Source organism: Homo sapiens, chromosome 9 (assembly GCF_000001405.40).
Source record: "Homo sapiens chromosome 9, GRCh38.p14 Primary Assembly".
In the NCBI taxonomy this organism is placed as follows: Eukaryota; Metazoa; Chordata; class Mammalia; order Primates; family Hominidae; genus Homo; species Homo sapiens.
In genome coordinates this window covers 90,505,551-90,528,941 of record NC_000009.12, presented here as the reverse complement: position 1 = coordinate 90,528,941, position 23,391 = coordinate 90,505,551, and the positions used below count along the sequence as shown (strand labels likewise).

At 38.7% G+C, this 23,391-nt stretch overlaps 1 long non-coding RNA gene across 1 annotated transcript in view; it reads left to right on the top strand.

Annotated features, from left to right (window-relative positions):
• The window catches only part of LINC01501 (long intergenic non-protein coding RNA 1501), a 120,315-nt gene that overhangs the window by 53,805 nt on the left and 43,119 nt on the right, over positions 1-23,391 (top strand). Inside the window, exons 2-4 of the long non-coding RNA NR_034157.1 lie at positions 20,001-20,143; positions 21,602-21,684; positions 23,162-23,219. This is a non-coding gene — a long non-coding RNA (long intergenic non-protein coding RNA 1501). The remainder of the gene's footprint in view (positions 1-20,000; positions 20,144-21,601; positions 21,685-23,161; positions 23,220-23,391) is intronic.

The following is a 23,391-nucleotide window of genomic DNA, read 5'->3' as shown; positions in this document are numbered from 1 at the left end:
GTTCCACTTAGCAATTTTTGTTTTTGTTGCAATGGCTTTCAGGGACTTAGTCATAAATTCCCAAGGCTGATGTCCAGAATTATGTTTCCTACATTTTCTTCTAGGATTCCTAAAGTTTGAGGTCTCACATTTAAATATTTAATTCATCTTGAGTTAACTTTTGTTTATGGTGAAATGTAGTGGTCTAGTTTCATTCTTTTGCTTATGGCTAGCCAGCTAACCCAGCATCATTTATTGAGTAAGGAGTCTTTCCCCTATTGCTTATTTTTTTTTCAACTGTGTTGAAGATCAGATAGTTGTAGGTGTACAGCTTTATTTCTGGGTTCTCAATTCTGTTCTATTGGTCTATGTGTCTGTTTTTGTTCCAGTATCATGCTGTTTTGTTTATTGTAGTCTTATAGTATAGTTTGAAGTTGGGTGATGTGATACCTCCAGCTTTGTTCTTTTACTTAGGATTGCTTTGACTATTGGAGCTCTTTTTAGGTTCCATATAAATTTTAGAATAGTTTTTTTTTTAGTTCTGTGATAAATGACATAATGACATTGGTAGTTAGGTAGGAATGGCATTAAATCTGTAGATTGCTTTGGGCAGTATGGCCATTTTAACATTATTAATTCTTCCATTCCATGAGCATGGAATGTTTTATCTATTTGTTCATGTCATCTATAATTTCTTTCAGAGTGTTTTGTAGTTCTCCTTACAGAGAACTTTTACATCCTTGGTTAGGTGTATTCCTAGGTATTCTACTTTTTTTTTTTTTTTGCAGCCATTGTAAATGGGATTGTCTTCTTAATGTGGCTCTCAGCTCAAACATTATTGGTGTATAGAAATACTACTGATTTTTGTACATTGATCTTGTAATCCCAAAACTTTACTCAAGTTGTTTGTCAGTTCTAGGAGCCTTTTGGCAGAGTCTTTAGTGTTTTGTAGGTATAGAATCATATTTGTGGAGTGAGGTATTTTGACTTCTTCTTTTCCTGTTTGTATGACTTTTCTAAAAATCAGAAAAGTGCAAATGAAAATCACAATGATATACCATCTCATATGAGTCAGAATGGCTATTATTAAAAAGTCATAAATGGTGGTAGGATGCTAGTGAGGCTGTGGAGAAAATGGAACACTTATACACTGTTGGTGGGAATGTGAATTAGTTCAGCCACTGTGGAAAGCAGTCTGAATATTTTTCAACTGTCTTAAAACAGAGCTACCACTAGATCCAACAATCCCACAACTGAGTATATATGCAAAAGAAAATAAATCATTCTATCATATATCATCTATCAAAAGGATGCCTGAACTGATATGTTCATCACTGCACTATTAGCAATAACAAAGATGTGTAATCAACCTAGGTGTTCATCAATGGTAGACTGGATAAAGAAAATGTGGCACATATACACAATGGAATACTATGCAGCCATAAGAAAGAACAAAATCACGCCCTTTGTAGCAACATGGATTCAGCTGGAGGCTATGAGCCTAAGTGAACTAATACAGGGACAGAAAACCAAATACCACATGTCCTCACTTCTAAGTGGAAGCTAAACATTGGGTACTCATGGGCATAAAGATGGGAACAATAGACACTCAGGACTTCTAGAGTAGTGAGAGGGAGGAGAGAAAAAGACTGAAAAACTAATTACTGGGTAGTATTCTCAGTACCTGGGTGATGGGATCAATCATATCCCAAACCTCAGAATTATGCAATATATTCAGGTAACAAACCTGCACATGTATCCCCTGAATCTAAAATAAAAGTTGAAATTATAAAAAAAAGAAAAATTAGAGTAAATTGTCCCAAAGAATTATTTCAAAGTAATAAAAAGAAAGATACATAAATATAGAGCAAAAAACTATGATTTTGAAAGCCCAACATAATACAAATCATTAATATCAGGAATGAAGACATGAGCTGATATACATAAAAGACATGCCTGTTACATGTCACATAGCAGATACATAAATGGTGCATAGAGAATGCACAAGTTTTACACAGAAGATGTGCACAAGAAGTTAGGTTCTACCCTCCATTCCTAATTCATCTCACAGAATCATGACAACAATAGAGTCATCTCTAGTGGTAAAAAGTAATTTAATAATAATCATATAGTGCAAAAATTAAGGACACAATTATACAAATATATAATGGCCCAAGCAAAATATCAGTCTATTTCTCACTCACATAATTTCCAAAGTGGTACTCTTCATTGGCAGGTGCATCCCCTCCAAGTGGTCATTCAGGGACCCAGACTCCTTCCACCTGTAGCTCTGTCATTTTTCAGCACACAGCTTCCAAGGTTATATTCCATGTTGTCTCTATGCCAGTCAGCTGGGAAGGAAAACAGCTTGGAGAGTCATACCTGACAAGCTTTAAAGTGCCAGGCTAGCAGGAGTACATACCACTTCTATTCACATTCCATTTGCTGGGACACAGCCCAATGGCCACATCTAATTGCAAAGGAAGAATGAAAATACAGTCTAACTATATTATCAGAGAGAAAGTAAGGCTGGTAAACAGTCTCTATCACATCTATGAAGAGCTAGGATAGTAAGAGGGGATTTCTCTTTCTTTCTTTCTTTCTTTCTTTCTTTCTTTCTTTCTTTCTTTTTTTCGTTCTTTCTTTCTTTCTCTCTCTCTCTTTCTCTTTCTTCTTTCTTTCTTTCCTCTGTCTCTTTCTTTCTTTCTTTCTTTCTTTCTTTCTTCATTTCTTTCTTCTTTCTTTCTTTATTTTCTTTCTCATTTTCTCCTTTCTTTATTAGTTTATACAGAGGAAAATGTGCAAACTGTCCCTTGTATAAACCTGAATGCTGACTGCTACTTATTCTTAAGTAATAAGCTGAAAGCCAAATTGTAAGGCATATGCATGAAGCCGTCACATGTTATGTTTGCTGGGAACAAGAACCCAAGAAAAAGGTCTCCCTAGTATGACCCAGAGGGCCCTGGGATCCTCAGAAAAATTTTTAAAATGTCCATGAATCTACATGAAATCGAAGTAATCATTGTCTGCAGAGTATTTAAATGACATGTTTTACACATTCAGGTCTTATATTTTTAGAAATAGTAGCACATCCTAATTAATGTCTTAGTGAAATCAAAGTAGTTTTTGTTTTGGTCACTATACATTCTTTCAACTGCTTTTTTTCCACTTTAGAATGAGGTTCTTAAATAGATAAGTTTGTAAGTCACATTTTTCTAGACGATTAGCAGTTGTCCTCATTTTGAGGCCAAAACAACAGAGTGTTTTGAGACATGAGTTAATTCAGATTTTTAAAAAGTCAGTCACATTAGTTCCCAGTATTAAAATATTTTGAATTCTTAAGCTCTGAAAAATTATTTTTTTCTGGATTTTTTAATTTCAAGAATTAAAAGGCATCAAAGAAAAGTTCCTTTTGGAAACCATCTAACCATCTGAGAACATCATACCAAGACCTTTGACTTGTTGTTATAATTGCAAATTTACTCTCTGGCCAGGGACTATTCCTCTCTATCACTCACCATTCTTTTTAGTTCTTTCTTGAGCCCTGAGATAAATATTGCACAGTGCATCCAACCTCTGAGCCTTCTCAAATTGACCTTCATACCAATAAAATCATCTCACAATCTGGTATTCACGATTCTACCTGCTGTTTACACAACACCAACCCACCAACTCTCACGTCTTTACAATTGCCGTGTACAGTTATGTTAGTTATATTATTAACCCTGTATAAAAATACAACTTCCCTGAACTCACATTCACATCTCTACTGAGGGGAGGAAACATTGCCTCCTACACATGATTAACAGGCAAAACTGGGAATCCAGAAAGTTATGGCGCCTTTGGCTTCTCATCCAGCAGCTAGCATTTCATTTAAAACTGAGAAATTAGGATCTGGCTTTGAAGGCAGTAGACATGGAAGATATTTCCCAAATACTAGGATTTTTAAAAAAATCTTTCTCCTTTTGTCCCTGGAGTAAAGTAAACACAAATTGCTATTTAGTTGTAAATGAGTGCAAGATTAGTGTTTTGGCATCTTCATTAATAAAGGAACTAGTTGATGAAGGCAGAATATAAGATGTCATGAAGCCGGTAAGTGGAACTGAGGAGAAACATTTCAAGACCTTCAGTGCCAGGCACTGGAAGTGCAGACTCTTCTCATGACAAGTGTATGATGTTCAGAGAGGGATGGCAGTATTTGAATAAAAGAGAGCAAGATAAGTATTAAATGAATTAACAGAGAGTCATCCTGAGTTACTTCATTATTAAATAATGAGCTCAAACCTCCATTAAAACATAACCAAAACGGGTTTCTAAACGGCTCCTATCTAGTATTAGATAGGTAGTATAATAGATATCAAGTTTGTTTTTATGAAGTTCAAAATGCAGTATATTAAAAAAATCACAAAATAGTTCATGACCACCAGACATGAACCCCCTTAAAAAAGTTGAAAATTTTAAAAATCTTCCAACTCCAACTCCTCCAGGAGCCGCGGCTGCTGATATCATTAACTTGCCCGCTTGACTCTAAGTGAATTACTCTGGCATGAAAGCTGATTTTGTTGCCTGAGTGGAAATGAGAAAATGCAAAATCATCAATGACAACTCTTAATAACAAAATGCTAAAATGCAATGTCTCCTAACACCCTCACTAAATTACCTCTTCAAAGTCATTACAAGTATTCTTCTCTTCCAAGTGCTGGGTTCCCTTTTGTGTCTCCAAATAGATTATGGGGGAAAAAAATCTGCCAGCATTGCTGTCACTGTTAATTAGTGTCTCCTGAGCAGGGCTTCCTGCCTGAGGTGCTCACCAGACCTTGCCAAGCCCTACAGGGACTTCCAGAAAAACCTTGTTTATGACCCAGCCCCAGCGTGCCTCTCCTGCTTGTAATATTTTATGGCATTATAGAGAAGGACTCATCAACAATCTCTCTGTAGGAGTGGAAGTCAATTTTATATGAGGTGAGAACTTCACCTAAGCTAATCTTGGCATGATGAGTCCTCAGCTGAATATAAAATTTTACCAAAAAAACCCCCTGTGAGGTGAATTATCAATCAACATGAATTAGAAGCAGTGAAAACCCTTCTATCGAGTTATCTTCATAAATCTATTTTTATTCAATGTCATCTCACACATTCTTTATTTTTATTTGTTTTCACTTTCTCAAATATCGGATTGTTGCTCATGAGAATAATGGCTGAGGGAGCTGGCACGGCAGTCTTCTCAGGCTCCCTGGATAGCTAAATTTATGGGTATAATTATTGAAATTCTTTCCCTGGTTTCTTGTAAACTCAGACACATACTATATTAATAAGCCACAAGTAAAGTCAGACACATACTATAGTAATAAGCCACATTGATCCATATTTTCCACCCAGGGTGTTTGAAGGTGTCTATTGTTTGTGTGTTCTCTCCATTCCATTTTTCCTTCCCCTGGTAACTGGATTCACCCCCAGACATGGGTGTGAGACCCATCAAGGCCTTGTGACCTTAGCCAGGGCTTTTCCAGCTGCAGTGGGGAGGGAGGAAGCATGTTTATCCTCTGGTTTCAAACCTGAGATGTGGGGAGCTGAGGGCTGCCCAGTCATGGTCCCTCCTGAAGGAGACATGATGTTAACCAGGGAAGAGGCTCGGATGGAACAGAGGAAAGAGGCTGGGCTTGGTCAGTCAGCATTGTGGGTAAGGCAGAAATTCCCCTTCTAAAAGTACCATTATATCAGGTGCTGATCCCTTCTTTTTATTTAAGAATATTTGAAGTAGGTGTTCTACATGCTGCCTTGTTCAGCCTGAAAACCCAGTGACTTTCAGGGGTTTGGAGATGAAAACTCCCTACCAAGTCTTTGTGGGAGTCCACCTTTCTAGTTCCTATCCCTACCTGCTTAATAACTATTAGAAATAAATCATTGCTCATATTGATTGAATACTTGCCATACTGGCGTGGGAAAGAAAAGAAAATTTTTGTTGAGGACTGCGAGCCCCTTTAAATGATCAGGCACAGTGAGGGACTGAAAAGTGACAGCAGTTCCATCACTCTCCCTTGAGCTGGGGCATTACCTCTTGAAGCTACTTGCTATGTGGGCTTTAGACTCTAAGCCAATTGCCATAAATTGCTGTATGCTGGACGCCATAACTTACAGTTCGACGATGCACAGCCTATCACAAATCAATGTTATCCTTGTAAATCAATGGGAATCCCTTTCAAACAACTCTGTTATCAATCGGCCCACTCCTTGTCCCTTTTTACTTTTAAAAACCTGCATGGAACAAAGGTCAGAGGGAGCGCTCCCCAAGGCAACTTGCAAGTATGTCCCAGGCAGCTGTCCTCACTTTGACTCAAGTGGACTCTTTAAAATTGTATTTTGTGCCCCAGCATCTTCCTTTAGGTCACCAGTAGTCACTGTGCTAAGTACTTTACAGGCATCATCATATTTAATTCTTACATTTAATTCATTCCCTTTTCAGAGATGAAGTTACGCAAGGCACACTACCAGGAGGTGGCTAAGCCTGATTCAAACCCAGGGGACCAAGTGCCAGAGTATGTGTTTCTAATTTCCCCATTGAGTAAGCCTGGAAATCTCAACTGTAGGCTGTACTAGCGAGGAGTCCCCCTAAAAGGAGAGCAGAAGGTCATGCGGCTTTCCTTATTCATCTCGTGGTCCGTGTTTCTCTGATTTCATTGAGACCAAACCACTGTCAGGGTGGGTGGCCTCTGACTTATTTCCATGGCTTTCTTGTTCACAAAATGTAATTTGAAATCTTTTCTTATGTTATACCTAGAAAAAATAAAATTCAATTTTTTGAGGACCAACTACAGATTTTTCTTAGAAAACTGAATATTTATTGCTTTGCAGAATGATAGGTTTATAGTTTCCTGTATGCTCAATATTTCTGGGAATTGACATAAAGAAGTGATTTCTCAAACACCCACGGATGCTATGTGCACAGTGATATTTACGACATTACTAACATTCACACTATCTCCCACTTCCTGAGAAGGAGGAATGAGAAGGCTGGTGCATCAGTGTTAATAATTGAAATGACTTGAGATTTTCCTTTTGAGATCTCTGGGTGCTTTGTTTGGAGTCCATAATTCAGAAATTTCTTTTGCCAGATAGTTAGGCTCCTGGCTCTGCTGCATGGCCTTAGCAAATTTCAGTAATTTTTCTGAGCGTTTGTTTCTCTACCCATAAAATGGAGAAAACAATGAGTATTCACATTGCATGGTTGTTGTGAGGATTAAAGAGTGACATCAAACATGCAATAACAGGTGTCTGGCACATTAGTAAAATACATAAAAGCTGCTGTTGCTATTGTATTATTAGCTTCCTCGATTTAGGCTTACAGACCTTGTGTTGGAGGATCGGTGATGGTCTGTGGACACTTTGCCCCACCAGCTAAACAGTGAGAAGCTGTGGCTTTCAGGGAGACAGATAGCTGGAAAAGAACACAAGAACAGATCTTTGTGCTTAGGTCCTGGGAAGAGTAACTGAGAGCTAGTTCAGAGAAGGGAGTAGGAGGAGGTCTCCGAGGTGGGACGTACCTGCTCCTAGAGAGGGCTGCATGAATTGTCTATGAAGTTATCTAAGCAGTGTGGACAGTTGGAACTCATCTGAGACATTGCATTGCCAACTCTTTCTACAACATCAACAAATAGTTTGGGCCAAGAGCAGTAGGTCACACCTGTAATCCCAGTGTTTTGGGAGGCTGAGGTGGGAGGATCACTTGAGCCCCAGAGTTCGAGGCTGCAGTGAGCCATTATTGTGCCACTGCACTCCAGCCTGGGAGGCAGAGCAAGACCCGGTCTCTCTAAAAAAGTAAGTAAGTAAATAAGTAATATAAAAAATAAGCAAATAGTTTGCAGCTCCCAGCACTAAGGACTTGGAAGTCATGCCATGTCTGGAAGACTCAGGGGGCCTGGCATGGCATGGTGGCCAGAAAGGTCTCTGAGAGAACTCAGAAAAGGAATGACTTAGGGGAATGAATTCAAAGATTGAGATGGAGTCATATTTTTCAGAAAATAATGTAACCAAAATCAACTCAAGGGGTAGAGAATTTTAATAGAAATTGTAAAAGTAGTCCAGGAGCTCTGCAAATGCACCAGGTGCAGCTGAACAGGTGAGTGTTATGACCTTTTTAAGAAAGAGTGGCGTCCAATGTCATGAAGCTGTTCTATAGTATGGCAGAAAAAAAATGAATTGACTCAGCTGACTAAGTTTGCCCCAAAATGATAATAAATCTATACTATGTAAAAAAAGTGATGTATCTTTTAAAGATACAACAAATACAAAGACAGAAAAATAAGGGTCTTATTTCTGAAAGGTACATTCAAAACTGGCAATTCTCAAACTGTTACATTTAATGTAATCCTAATCAAAATTCCAAGAATATTTTTACAGAACTTGACAAGTTTGTTTTAAAGTTTCATGTTAAGGAGAAAATATAGAAGATTAGCTAAATAAATGATGGGAAGAGAAGAATGAGGGGTACCAGCCCCAGAAAATATCACAACATATCATGAAACACATAAATAAATAGGAATAAAAATATATGGATGATAAGAGTAAATAAATAATTTGGAGAACTGAATAGAGAATTCAGACAGACACACACATACATGGTCATATTGCAAACACGAATGTCGTGGTGTTCAGAGTGAGTGCTGATTATGGAAGTATGGTAAGATCCACCTGTCACCTGATGTCAGCCATCCTTTGGGGGAGGGTATGAGATTGGGGGACAGTACTGAAAAGTCCCCATGCACTTCTAAGTGTTTGAATCTTTCATACCAAGAAATATTATTTAATGAATTATATAATTTTAAATATTCTTTTAAAGCTTTCTGAGATTTTGTATATTTTCTGTTTCATTCACTTGTTTTGCCATTAAGTTCATTTTGTAAAATAGAAAAGAGAACTTTAAGAGCAGAGACTTTCCCTATGTTGAAACTGCCTAGGTTTAAATCCTGGCTGTAGGATTTTCTAGTTGTGAAATCCTGGGTAAGTTGTTTAATCTCTTTCTGACTCAGGTCCCTCACCTGTAAAATGGGGCTATAATGCTTTACGTGGCTGTTAGAGAGGTAAAGGAGATAAGATAAGCTATGTGCTTAAAATAGCTTGTTCATGAAGCTCCTTGGGATGTTAGCATGATGCAGAAAGAAGACAGGCACAGTTGGAAGGTATGGAGTTTGTGAGGGTAGTGCCAAGAGAAATATTTCAAATTTTAGAATGATTCTTAAAGGCAATGGGAAGCATCGAGATATTTCTATGCAATAATCAGCTTTGTTCTTTATAAAGATTCCCTTTGCAGATGAAGTTACTACATTATAACTTATTTTATATCTTAATTCTGAACTATATAATTAAATTTACTGCATACTACACACCAAAAACCTTAGTTTATAGTCACTAGGAGCACTGACATGTGAAATAATATATGTTTTGAAAACTTATTAAGTATAACTGTGATCATGACCTCTCCCAGGAATACATTTTGGGGTTCACTCAGCCAATCTGAAGGTCTTGCGGCCCACCTGATTGTTTGTGATCAGGAACAGGATATTTATGCTACTGGTGAACTGTGGGAATATCAGCTCCTCAGGCAGCTCAAGAAAAGTCTCCAGAACTCAAGTTTATGACTTTGTGATGCTTTAGTCTTGAAACAGAGTATACATTTTGTACTTTGTTATTCTAATTTTTAATTTTGTTCTTTTTATTTTTCTAATTAATTATTTCAAGCAGCATCTATTTAAAATATATCAAATACACATAAGTGAATATTAGATATGTTAGGACAGACCTAGTTCTCTGAATAGATACTATAATAAGTTGCTATGAAATAATTTTATATTATCAGAAAGCTTAGAGAGAATTTTAATGTGCATTCAAGGTTTTGATAGTATATAATTGAATACTATAGATATTGTTGGTCTCTGAATGCAGCATAAAAGCTTTAAAAAGACAACATCACTAATATGCTTCTTTTTCACTTATCCTGAATAAACATATGTAAGTCTTACATCATGGAGGGTATTGAATGAGGCTGTGTTTGTTTCCAGTGACTCTTGTTCCCTCTGCCTTTGACATTTTAATCTTTCCAAACATTTGTGGGATTGGCAGAGAAAAACAATTCCCTCTTATAGTCCTAGGAAGAGGGGAAAAAATCTCCTGAATAATAATCTTGATGTAATGGGTATTTGTCTACAGAAGGTAAACAGAGAAATATTAATGTAACTATTGAACTAAGGGAACAGATAGGGTGAGGTAGGCTGAGTACTTTGTTCATAGTTTTGATGTTAAGATAAAGATAGATGCATGTAACAGAGCACTCGATTAAAGGTTCAAAAATACATTTTCCAGTTGTTTTTAAGAAGAGCAAGGGGATTATAAGGCATATCATTTCTACATTTATGTTAGATGACACAAATATTTTGTCTTACATTAGAATTAAAATGTTCATTAAGATTCAGAGCTCTGTTTTTCTGAGATAAATTATGGTCTTAAGCGTGAAATCTCTCCAGTCAGAGTCCTGGAAGAAGAAATTGCTTCTGCCTAGGCAAAGATGCAAATGCAACCTTCGTTTAAGTTTTGTGAAATTGAATGAAATAGAATGACATGAAAGATAGTTCACTAAATTCAATCATTGAGGCTTTTCATTTCTGTGAAGTACTGGTCTTTGACTGCCAACATTGCTAGTCATTGGAAGATCAAGTAATTTTTAAAATTTTTATTATAATTTTGAATATTTTTAGCCTTGTTAATGCACCTTAAGTACAGACATTTAAAAATTTGTAAAGGCATATTTGCTAGTTTACATTTAATATATAAAATTTCAAAGGAAAAATCAGAGCCTAACCAAATCCCAGTGGCACCCACGGTTCACTTGCCGGCCTCTATTCACTAACCCTCCAGAGAAGAGCCACTGGGAACATCAGGAAGAAGTTTTACCTGTTTTCAGTCTTCATATCTGCTTTAGCCAATGAGAGGTACATAGGATAAGACGGAAGAAGAGGACCGTGGCTATTGATTTAGACCTCAGGTCCAGTGTCAGACAAGAATGATAGCATCTGTGTCATCTTCTCCTCACATGCCTGGAGGATCCTCATGACGGCTGAGTGTCCAGGCATTTGGTAAGAAGGTGTCCAGTAGCCCTTTCCTGTCAGTGGTTACGTTAGCCGAGGACGTTCATGTGCTCCCTGCTTGGTCCTGACAGTATCTGAGAGCGGAGGCGCAGGAGGAGGAGCTGGACATTCGTCCAGTTGCCCCTCAGTCCATTCTCCACCACACTTCTCCATCCCGCTCCCCGTCACAGGAGCTGATTTTACGAGTGGACCTCATCAGCAGGCTCCCACTCTGGTTCCCATGTATGTTTGCCTAGTGGGAAGGGCTGATGGGAGACTAGGAGGCAGAAGGACAGAGAAGTCAGTTATTGATTCCCTGACAACTTTCTCTGCAGAGATGCTGTTAAAGAAAAAATTCTTCAAGCACTTGTTAAGATGGTAAAGAAGATTTTATTCAGTACTATATCAATAGGTATCCAGGCTACGCCAGTAGCAGAGAGAAATTGGGCTCAATGCCAAAGGCATATTTATAGCTAAGGAACAGAATAAAGTTTGCAGATTCTTGTTAAACTCGTCTATCAGGATTTTCAAAGCAGGCCAGGGTGATCAGATATCACCTGCAGGATGGTGGGGGATGAGGAATTCAATGGATTTGGGCTGGAAGGAGGTGATCAGATATCAAGGGTGGTGGGAGGATTCTCTAAATTGACTTAGCAGGATTCTTGTTAACACTGGACTCTGCAAGGACAGGCATGCAAGCCCAAGGTCAAGGCCTAGTTGGGAAGAGGGCCTGGGGAGCCTGTCCAAAGCTTGGTTAAGGAGGGTCTCTGTTCAGGACACCAAGGGCCTTATTTTCAAGCTACTGTCTAACCCCCCCAGGCCTGGGATTCAAGGTGGGTAGTGTCAGAATGGAATTGTCAGGCCTGGGATTACAGGTGTGAATAACAGTTGGTATCTGCAGAGGACTGGAGAATTGCGCAGCAAGTGGAAAAGCCACACATTTGATGTCAGAAGTGTTCTGTGGATAGAAATGGATGATAGTAGTAGAGTAGTAAGCAAGTAAGCACTTAGTAATTTTCATTTATGCCCAGCTAATTCACCGAATTCTTACCTGGAGTGTCTTGGCTTATCTAGGATACTCTCATATCATCAGAAAAGAGGAATACTTTTACCTCCTGTATTCCAATAGGTATATAATTTTTGTCAGATTCATTGAAACTGACCAGACAATGTTGCAAACTAATGGATAGAGTGACCTTACACGTCAGTTATTTTTCCATTATTTAGGTATACTATTTACTTTTGATTTTTAATATTTATCATTGTCATATTTAAGAAGTTTTTTTCTATTCTCAGTGCTAACATATTCTTTAGAATTTTTACATCTATGCTCATTTTTTTCCCCTGTACTACCTTTATATTTTGGGCTTAGAATTATACTAACCTTGTCAAATAAATCTTAGGCCTTCTTTCCTTTCCCCTGTCTTGTCTGTGGAAATATCCACAAAGATGAGAGGGGATCTATAGGCCTTATTTGTTTGTAAAGAGTTGTCCTCATTTTTTTTTCTTCCATGAAAATTGGTCTTCCTCTTGGGTCAATTTAAGTATTTTATATTTTGCTAGAAAATTGATTGCAGAATGTTGCCTGTAGAATAATTCATTTATAACTCTACTGACCACCTTGCCCGTCTCCCCCCTTATTTAAGGTAAAGGCTCTTATATCATTCCTAATTTTGCACAGTTTTTGCTAATGTTCTTTTTTTCCTAGTTGGGCTCATGTAGGGTTAGTCTCTCCTATTTGACTTTATAATTTTTTTTCATTTTATAGATGAGATTATCCTATTTTACAACATCGATGTAACATATGTTTGGTCTTAATTTATCACCTGATTCTAAGCTTTCTTTTATTTCTGTCTCTTGCTGTTGACCTATCTTTACTATTTTAGGGTTGTTTTGTGTATGAATATGTGTACATGTATGTCTGCCTCTTGGTAATTTGGAAGTCATATATTTTGTTTTTGGTTTTTGTAGTCATTCTTTTTATAATCCTTTATATTATACTTAACCCTCTGTTTCTGAATTTAGCACTCTTACAGAGCATCTGTTGACTCTGTTATGACTAAGAGAAAATTACTGCTCTTGCACTTCCTCTCTCTTCCCCCTCCACCTCCAGTCTTTTCTTGGTTTCCTTCTTATTTTAGTTCTTCTGGTGGTTCCCTTTACAGCTCCAAGTCGTCCTCACAAGGCTCGGTTCTTGGTTTTCCCGCTCGCCCCGTGACAGATAAGGAAATTACAGCCCTCACATGGCTTCTTCCTCCCTTGACTCTGGTTTGTTTGATAATGAGTTGTACCTTCTTGAGGTTCATAAAATGTACCTCTTGGAACCAAACTGCCTTTGGAAATTTTGTTTGGATTTTGTGTTTCAATGTTTTTCTGTTTGCTACCACTCCTTTTACTGGCACTTCTTCTGTTACTGAATATCCAGATTCAAGCTTTTCTTTTTACAAACAACACGCAATGGTAATTGCTATGGTCTGAATGTTTATGTGTTTTCCGAAATTCATATGTTGAAACCTCACCTCTAAGGTAATGGTACTGGGAGATGCGACCTTTGGGAGGTGATTAGGTCATGAGGGCCAAGTCCTCATGAATGGAATTAGTGCCTTTATAAAAGAGGCCTGAGGGAGCCTGTTTAACCCTTCCACCGTGTGAGGACACATACAAGGCACCCTCATGACAACAAATATGCCAGTGCCTTGAGCTTGGACTTCCCCGCCTCCAGAATTGTGAGAAATGAATTTCTGTTGTTTAAAAGCCACCCAGCCTGTGGTATTTTGTGATCACAGCCTGAACAGACTAAGACAGTCATAATTCCTAAGACAGAAATTACCTCCTGTGTGAGCTGACCCACATTGTGACTTGTCCTTAAATGACAAGTTGCCTGCATGTGGCACCCCGGATCTCAGCTTCCCCCCCTGCAGCATGCAGAAAAAGCTGCTGCATTATTTTCTGGGAGAGACTGTTGTTTGGTCCCTGCTCTTGCCAGTTATTTTGTTTTGTCCTACCAAGAGGTCTGAATTGTTGTATTTTAAAAATTACATTTGAAAACTTAACTAGTCCTTGTGCTTTTGTAGATCATTTTGTGCTGGTTTGGGAGGGTTATGGTTTGCTGTTTAGATTTGCAGACTCTATTCTTCCTCAGATCTAGGAGAAACTTTTTCCATTGTACCTTTGAACATATCCGTGTTCCCTACACAGGGTCCCCATGCATGGACAACAATGACCTTTGTATTAGACGTGCCAGCTCTCCATTCATGTTAGCTTCTCTCCAATTGCCTGTGTCAACTTGGCTTTTTCCTTCTGTATTCATGGGGAAAGCCTCATACCTTTCCTCTTCATAAACGACTTGGCTTTGCAGCAAGCCTATTATACTCCTTACTATTTCATTAATCAAGCATACTTTGGGGATGTTTTGATTCAAAATTTTTATCTCAGCTGCCTCTTTCCTTCTGGAATAGATCTTTACATATACAATTTTATATTATATTTTCTTTGCATCACTCTTTTTTCTTCTTTTAATCATTTATGTTGCACTATAACTGTGTAAATACCATTATTTTTTCCATATTGCCCATGCTTAATGTGGGTAGTTCTGTCTCGGTAAATTTTTCCATCCAGATTCAGTGTAGATGGGTTTTCCCACGTGCCTTCTCTACCCTCTCTGAGACCTAGCTGTCTTCCTCTTTGAATTTTAGGGTTTCTCTGAGATTTCCCTGGCCTTTCTGGGTTTTCTGAGGTCTCTGCATCAGAAAAGTGCCAGTGTGGATGGCCGGGCTGGGCTGGCTTTGGGTTTTCTGCATCAGGAGGGTGTAGGGGTGGATGGCTGGAGGGTGCAGGGGAGGATGGCTGGGCTGTGCTAGCTTTCCTGAGGCTTCCTTCACTGTCTCTCATCCAGCTTCCTGTAGCCTGCTGGGGTCAGAAACACCATCAGCACCTCTCTTCTAGTACAGGATACCTTCAGCTTCTGATGGTTCTTTCTACCCAACCCCAGTTGTCTTAAGGGAGAGCGAGGTTGCTGGTAGTGTTTCCCTACCTAGCTTCTCTCACCTCTCTCCAGCATGACCTTAGATCTACTTGGAGCAGAAGACTGGAAAGGCTTATGGAAGTAGACTGGGGCCCCAGCGATAGGCCCACAGAGCCTGCAGGGGTTTTACTTGCTTCTTTCCTGGTCCTATTCTCCCATTTCCTGCTGACAGAGAATTTTCCTGTCATTCATTTTCTCTCTGACTAATTGCTATTTAATTTTAGGAGATAATTATCTCTGCTTTTGTGGCCTTTCTGCTTGTACTCCTCTGCTCTGATGGGAAATGACGAGGGTTGGGGAAGTTTGCCCTGTGTGGACATTTTCTAGTGAGTTCTCAGTCCTGCCTGAGCCACACCTACGTGTCATTTCTCCAAGGTGGGGGTTATTTATGATTTTCCACCCCCCAGAATTTTGCTTCTAACCTCTCCTTTGTAGTGGTCCCTTCAAATGCAGAGTTGAGACTGTGGTAAGACGTTAAACCAACCTGAGGGAAAGCCTCAAAATTTCTGCCTTTCTATGTGGTGGGGTAGATGCCCTTTCTTTTGTTGAGTTGCTATTGTTGGGACTGGCTTCTGATTTTTCTTATTTGCCATTCTTTGTTTTAGGTTTTGTGAGAGGTAGATTTAGATTTCTCACTTCATTCCACCATCTTAAACTTGAAGTCCCTAAATCTGGCTTTTGGAGAGTCACAAGAGGACATTCTCCCCCATGACGTTAGGCATCTTGAGATTGCAACTCTCCCTGTGTCTCCATTATGGGACTTTATACTGAGGGGATTCAGCAGAAAATGCAACCCAACAGGCATCTCTCAAAGCACGTGCAATTTTAAAGACACCATTGAACAGATTTATTACTCACACATTGTTATGTGCTGTTGTTAAATTGTCAAAAAATCAAAATTCTTAAATTATGTATTTTTAAAGGAATTGAATAAAGTTAAATAACTCTTTAAAAGAATAGACAAGATGGTGCAGATTCCAGAAACAATGCTGCAGAAGACCAAGGGGTCACCAACCCAAATGCCTGGAAGGGTAAGTAGACCAATTGACACTTGTAAGTGACCAGGTACAAGGCAAAAAGTAGGGGTAGGGAAGTGCAATGAATTGCAGTACGCATGCTGCTCCTAAAAGCATTCATACTAAACAAGCTCATTTCTAATCACCAGTGTGGATTAAGGTTTGATGAGCCAACTTCATGCCCTGGGTAAGGCTCCCACAATCATGTGGTTGATAGTTTTGACAATATATCTCTCAAAATTTCTTGTATAACTAGCTAGATGATAAGATCATGTATTATACACATGCATTTTAACCACAAATTTGTTGAAAAAAAATCACTTTTTATCCATAAATCATTTTCTTAGGCTTTGTATTTATTAATTGATTTAATATCAACAACTAATTTTTCAGCTGCCCCTGGAAAGAGGTGTTGTTTCCCCTTTGTTTTGAAAATGCTATTGCGGATAAGTGGAGGTTTTGGAAATGACACACTGAGAAGCTTCTGACTCTAGCCTCTCCCTGGTGGTGAAGGCTTCACTTGTCATGTCACCAAGGAGGCTGGTAATATGGTCAAAGTAGTTCCTTGTCCACAGAGATTCCCATATAGACATTCACTAAAGGGATTGTTAACAGAAGTGCAAATAAAATTTAAAATATGAAAGGAAAAAAATGGGCCTAGAGGGAGGAGAGAAGAGAGAATTTTCTTTAGGGAAGAATTTCTTTAAAGAAATTCATTAAAGAATTTTCTTTAAACCTGGAAACCCCTTTGGTTCACCAGGTTGGTTTTGTCTTCTGCAAACAAAATACAACGAAATGGCTATTATCCTTTATTAGGTGTGAATAGTGGGCCTGTTTGTCAACATCGTGTTAGTCTGTTCTCACATTGCTATGAAGAAGTACCTCATTAGCAAAGCTGGTGGCACATACCCGTAGTACCAGCTACTTGAGAGGCTGATGTGGGAGGATTGCTTGAGCCTGGGAGGCAGAAGTTGCAGTGAGCTGAGATCACGCCACTACACTCCAGCCTAGGCGACAGAGCCAGACTCTGTCTCCAACAACAACAACAACAACAACAACAACAACAAAAACAAAACAAAACGAAACAAAAAACCACTACCTGAGACTAAGCAATCTATAAAGAAAAGAAGCTTAATTGACTCACAGTTGTACAGGCTGTGCAGGAAGCATGGCTGGAGAGGCCTCAGGAAACTTACAATCATGGAGAAAGGTGAAGGGAAAGCAGGCACATCTTACATGGCCAGAGAAGGAAGTATAGAACAAAGGGAGAGGTGCTACACACTTTTATAAATAACCAGATCTCATGAGAACTCACTCATTATTATGAGAACAGCAGGGGGGAAATCCACCCCCATGATCCAATCATCTGCCACAAGGCCTGTCTTCTAACACTGGGGATTACAATTTGAGATTTATGTGGGGACACAGACCCAAACCATATCACACATTAATCATTTTATTTAATGCTTATCTTCGGCCAGAAGATGAGGAGTTGGGATCCTCATTGCACACAGGGCAACTGAGGCTGAAGCATAGTAAGTTCATTCCTTCACTCTGTGCCAGTCACTGGCCACTATGTACTGGGGTGCCTCTAATACCTAGCTGGGTCTAACACTGATTTGATCCTTTAATTAAAATTTTTGGTTGATGAAGAATAGAGCTAATAAGCAGCAGAGGCACTATTCAAACATAGGACAGTCTGACTCCTAAAACAGTGATCAGCCGAGTGTGGTGGTTCATGTCTGTAGTCCCAGCATTTTGGAAAGCTAAGGCAGGAGGATTGCTTGAGCCCAGGAGTTCAAGATCAGCCTGGGCAGCACAGTGAGACCCCCCATCTCTACAAAAACTACAAAAAATTAGCCAGGCATAGTGGTACATGCCTGTAGTCCCAGCTACTTGAGAGGCTGAGGTGGGAGGATCCCTTGAGCCCAGGAGATTGAGGCGGCAGTGAGCCAAGGTCACGCCACTATACTCCAGCTTGGGGCACAGAGTGAGATCCTGTCTCAAAACAAAAACAAAAACAAAACTGTGATCTTATGATAGTGCCTGGATGTTTCTCCCAAATTCTTTACAGATTGTCTCCATGAATTTTTCTTCAGGCTCCAATGTTGGATAACTACAGGTCATCATAATCATACAGATTATGTATGCAATTATACAGTTCTTTGGGTTGACTTCAGCTGGGCTACTCTGCCTTGGAATCTCTCATGCAGTTGCAGTATTTAGAAGAAATATATTTGAATACAGGAAGACACAACTAAAGAAGTTGAAAGGGTTTGCTCTAGTTCTTTGATATGTTGAAATAGCATAACTTATGGTGTGCAATATAAAATATCTCTCCTTTTAAAATTTATTTTCTGGAACAAGTTTTTTTTCCAGCCTTTGATGAAAACTTGAGCAGGCCCACAAATTTGTTCTTTCTTGGGTAACATGAAATCCTCTGATCAATAATTAACGTTGTCAGTAACATGTAACTAAAGCATTGAATGTCTGCTGCTGATAGGGCAATCCAGTCTTTCTGGGAATGAGGTCAGGTTCAGTCTCTCTGTGATAATTTAGAGCTTCTACTTCTCTTTGGAGATGGGAAAGAGCATGAGACATTTTCACCTACTTGGTGTTATTATTATCTGGGCTCAGGCCCTGTGTCTGGCAGATGTTTTAAATTAACTTCATCTCTAATGATTGTTTTTAATGGTTCTTCGAAGTGACTTGTTTGATGTGTAACAAAACATCTCAGAATATAACTGCTTAAAGTAACCATAATTTTATTATATCTCATAGTTTGTGGGCCAGAAATTTGGGCAGTACACACTGTGATGACCCCTCAGCTCATGTGGCATGGATTGGGGTCAACCTGTATTTGCCAGATCACAGGTACTCAATCTCAGGTCTCTGTTTGAGAGATGCACACTCCTACCACTCTTCACTTCCTCCTGCCCCACGCTCTAGACATCCTGCAGCATCTCTCTGCTGAAATCTGACTTCCTTTTCCTCTGACCCTCGTGAACAGGACCTATGATGATCCAAGCTGGTACTCTCTTCCATCTGGACAGTCCAGAGGAAACATTTATGCAACTTTTGCCTGGCAGTTTTCCTGATGCAACTGTTACAGGAAAGGGGTCTCGATCCAGACCCAAAGAGAGGGTTCTTAGATCTTGTGCAAGAAAGAATTCAGGGCAAGTCCATAGTAAAGTGAAAGCAAGTTTACTAGGAAAGTAAAAGAATAAAAGAATGGCTACTCCATAGACAGAGCAGCACCGAGGGCTGCTGGTTGTCCATTTTTAATGGTTATTTGTTGATTATATGCTAAACAACGGGTGGATTATTCATGCCTTCTTTTTTTAGACCATATAGGGTAACTTCCTGGCATTGCCATGGCATTTGTAAACTGTCATGGTGCTGGTGGGAGTGTAGCAGTGAGGATGACCAAAGGTCACTCTCATGGCCATCTTGGTTTTGGTGGGTTTTAACTGGCTTCTTTACTCCAACCTGTTTTATCAGCAAAGTCTTTAGGACCTGTGTCTTGTGCCGACTTCCTATCTCATCCTGTGACTTAGAATGCCTTAACCATGTGGGAATGCAGCCCAGTAGGTCTCAGCCTAATTTTATCCAGCCCCTACTCAAGATGGAGTCACTCTGGTTCAAATGCCTCTGACACAACCACTTCCCCTTGGCTCATCCATTGGCTATTCTCCAGACCTTCTCTAACTCTTTAGATTTTCCAGGCTGGAGTCAGACACCAACCGCAAAACATTGTTAAGCCAGAAGGCAAAGGCAAGCCCCTACTCCATATCTGAACTGGGAGGAGGGGAAACCCCAGCCCTGCTCTAAAATTCTTCTCCTCTGAATTCTTTCCTTTTGCAGCATGCCCAGCCTCTTGCATAGGAAGAAGTGGTAAGCTAAGGAGAGAAATGCAGGGTTCCTAGTACACCAATTTTCCAACTTTTTCATCTTGGCCCTGCTTTAAAATGATGCATCTACTGTCTTCATGCCTCAGCACAGCAGAGGTAAGAAAATTCCCATTCAGTTTTTATTAGTGTTTTTTAAAAAAATCGTGTGCATGGTTGCTTCAATAAAATTCGAACTAATAAGAAAAAAGCATAGCTTTGTTTTATAGCCATGGCTTGGTTAACACAAGGACATTTGGGCCACATAAATGCATAACACATATTATAACTTCTTTAGTTCACATTTAACACACACGTTGGAGCTGCATTGTCCATAAATAAACAGCATATTGTAAGTTTGAGATGTAGCCTTTGGAGCAAAACATACCAGGATTGGATTATCATGTCTGACACTACTGGCTTTGCGATCCCTGATCCTACAGTTCCTTTTAACTTTCTCAGCCTCACTTATCTCATATGTAAAATTGAAAAAGTAACATATGCTTCATAAGGATTAAATTAGGGAGATATGAAAAATACTCTTGTACTTGATGCTTTCTTCTAAATGGGGCAATAATGATAATTAGTGATTGCATTTAATTAACTTTTCACACATTATCAGTTAGAAACTGCTTTTAAAATCTTTCTCTGGAAATTATCTTGTTTCAAATGCAGTGTTATGTCATTTTATCATATTTCACATGAAACTTCATTGTTGGCAATTAATTAGGTGTTTTGTGTTGAGTTGCCCAGTCTGTCTATCAAGTTGATTTAATTTATATTTTATCAGTATCATTTTCCTAGTAAAAGCAAGAGGAACTTGTTTTTGAGGGGAATTATGCAGTTTTTAAACATTAAAAGGTCACATTAGCAAAATTAGTTCAACCTCAACCTGTTTAATTTTTCAAACCTCACAGCCAAAAAAAAAATCACAATTCTGCAATATCACTGTGACTCATTATCAGTTCACAAAATACAAGGAAGCAATAAAGAGTCGTGCAATTAAAATAGTAGTGATTTTTGTATCCAGTGGCTTTAAGTCCATCCAAGAAAACATGTTGGGTTTGTGAAATATGGTCACTGTAGTGTGGACAAGACTTCCCATATTAGAAAGTGCAATAGTCTGTGTGGGCCTCAATTTCCTTCCCTTCAAGGAGCGGTTGGGATGGCAAAAGATCTTTAAGGCCAAATGATGAGTCCATTTATTAATTTTGGATTCACCTATTTATTTAATCAAAAGAGATTGGCACCAGCAGGTTCTAGTGGAAAAGGCTTGTCTCTGAAGTACACAGACCTGAATTTTAATTCCATCTCTACTATGTATTAGTTATGTAACTATACAGGGCATTTTTTCCCCATTCTGAATCTCAGTTTTCTTTTTGTAAACTGGAGCACTGTTACTCTGAGGTTGCAAAGATATGAGTGGTTGTGAGATATCAGTGGTTCCCATAGGAGGTAATATCTCCTCTTCAGGGAATTTTGGAAATTTTCTGAGCATTTAGAGAATGAGGACTGGGACTTTTAGTCAGTCCACATCTAGAATTCTCCAAAATCGAGATATACCTTTCTGTACCCTAGAAAACCATGCTGTGTTCCAGTTTACTTTGAATGTTTCAGTGAAAATGATGAAGCTGAAAAAATGACGGAGGCCCGTTTTACATGTAAGTATGATGCTTTCACACAATTGTAATATGTGTTGAACGTCACACAAACGGATCTACCATAGAAATTAAGGGAAAATTACATATTGCTTTATTTGGCACTTTACCAAGAATTGTCCATTATTTTGGAAAAGCATGCTGTCATCAAGAATTTTATTCCTGGTATTTGACTTACTGATAAAGCACTCTTTATCAATTTGCACTTGTAACTCTCCTGATTATGGTGATCTACCTATACAGGAAAATATGCAAATTTAGATTTTATTTAAAATGTTAAATATAAGAATAAATTACCAAATAGCATTGTTAGATTCTCAGTAGTGATTTTGTTTCAAAATTTATTTTGAAAAAACAGAATAAAACCATAAATTAGGCAAACATTTTCCAAAAATACTTTGATAAAGAGAGATGTCAAATATCTATTGAACTTACAAGATATGAAGACATGATTTTGTCAGAGAGGTTTGAACCAGAGCAACTCTATCTTGAATAGGAGCTGGGTAAAATAAGGCTGAGACCTATTGGGCTGCATTCCCAGACAGTTAAGGCATTCTAAGTCACAGGATGAGATAGGAGCACAAGATATAGGTCATAAAGACCTTGCTGATGAAACAGGTTGCAGTAAAGAAGCTGGCTAACCCCCACCAAAACCAAGATGGTGATGAGAGTGAGCTCTGGTTGTCCTCACTGCTACATTCCTACTAGCGCCATGACAGTTTACAAATGCCATGGCAACGCCGGGAGGTTACCCTATATGGTCTAAAAAGGGGAGGCGTGAATAACCCACCCCCTGTTTAGGATATAATCAAGAAATAACCATAAAAATGGGCAAAGCAGCCTTCAGGGCTGCTGTTTCTATGGAGTAGCCATTCTTTTATTCTTTTACTTTCCTAATAAAGTTGCTTTCACTTTACTGTATGGACTTGCCCTGAATTCTTTCTTGTGTAAGATCCAGAAACCCTCTCTTGGGGTCTGGACCAGAACCCCTTTCCTGTAACAATTTGACAAAAGTAATAATGTAACTAAAATATTGAAGGCATTTTTGGATCAGAAAGAAAGAAGATATTTCATTGCTTCTTAGGTAAAACTAAGGTAAAAAATTAATGTAAAATATGGCAAACTATATAATACTAGAGAAAAGTTATCATATTAGCTGTATGAATGATTATTAATACTAAATGGAAATAAATTCCAAGGAGATAATTGTTTTCTTTTTCAACAAGCAACTTTCATGCTTCAAAAAAATTTTGAGGTGGGGAAAGATTTAAATACAACTTAATAATGTACTGCCATTTAGTAAATTTGCATTGTAAGTGAAGAAAAAGAAACACCTCAGGTGATAATGAAGGTTTACTGCTTGCATATGTCAAATTTGTAAGGGATGAAAAGCCACAGAGGAAATGTTACTTTCAAAATTACTGACAATGAATATAAACACATTTCCATTGCCTGAAACTCTTAAAATTTATTAAAACAGTGCATTTCTCAGAGTCATCGCCTCTGCTGCAGATGGAACAACAGCCATGGAGAATGAGGTGAGTGGATTGCAGGAGGACTTTAAAAAACTGCACCAGGTTTTTAAGCAATTGCTTAACTTATGCTCATCAACACAAAGATGTCAAGAATCCTAGTGAAAGGTCACAGGAATCTCCAGCGTTGCTAGTGCACCCAGTAGCATGGAAAATGCACCTCCGAATGACAGATTAT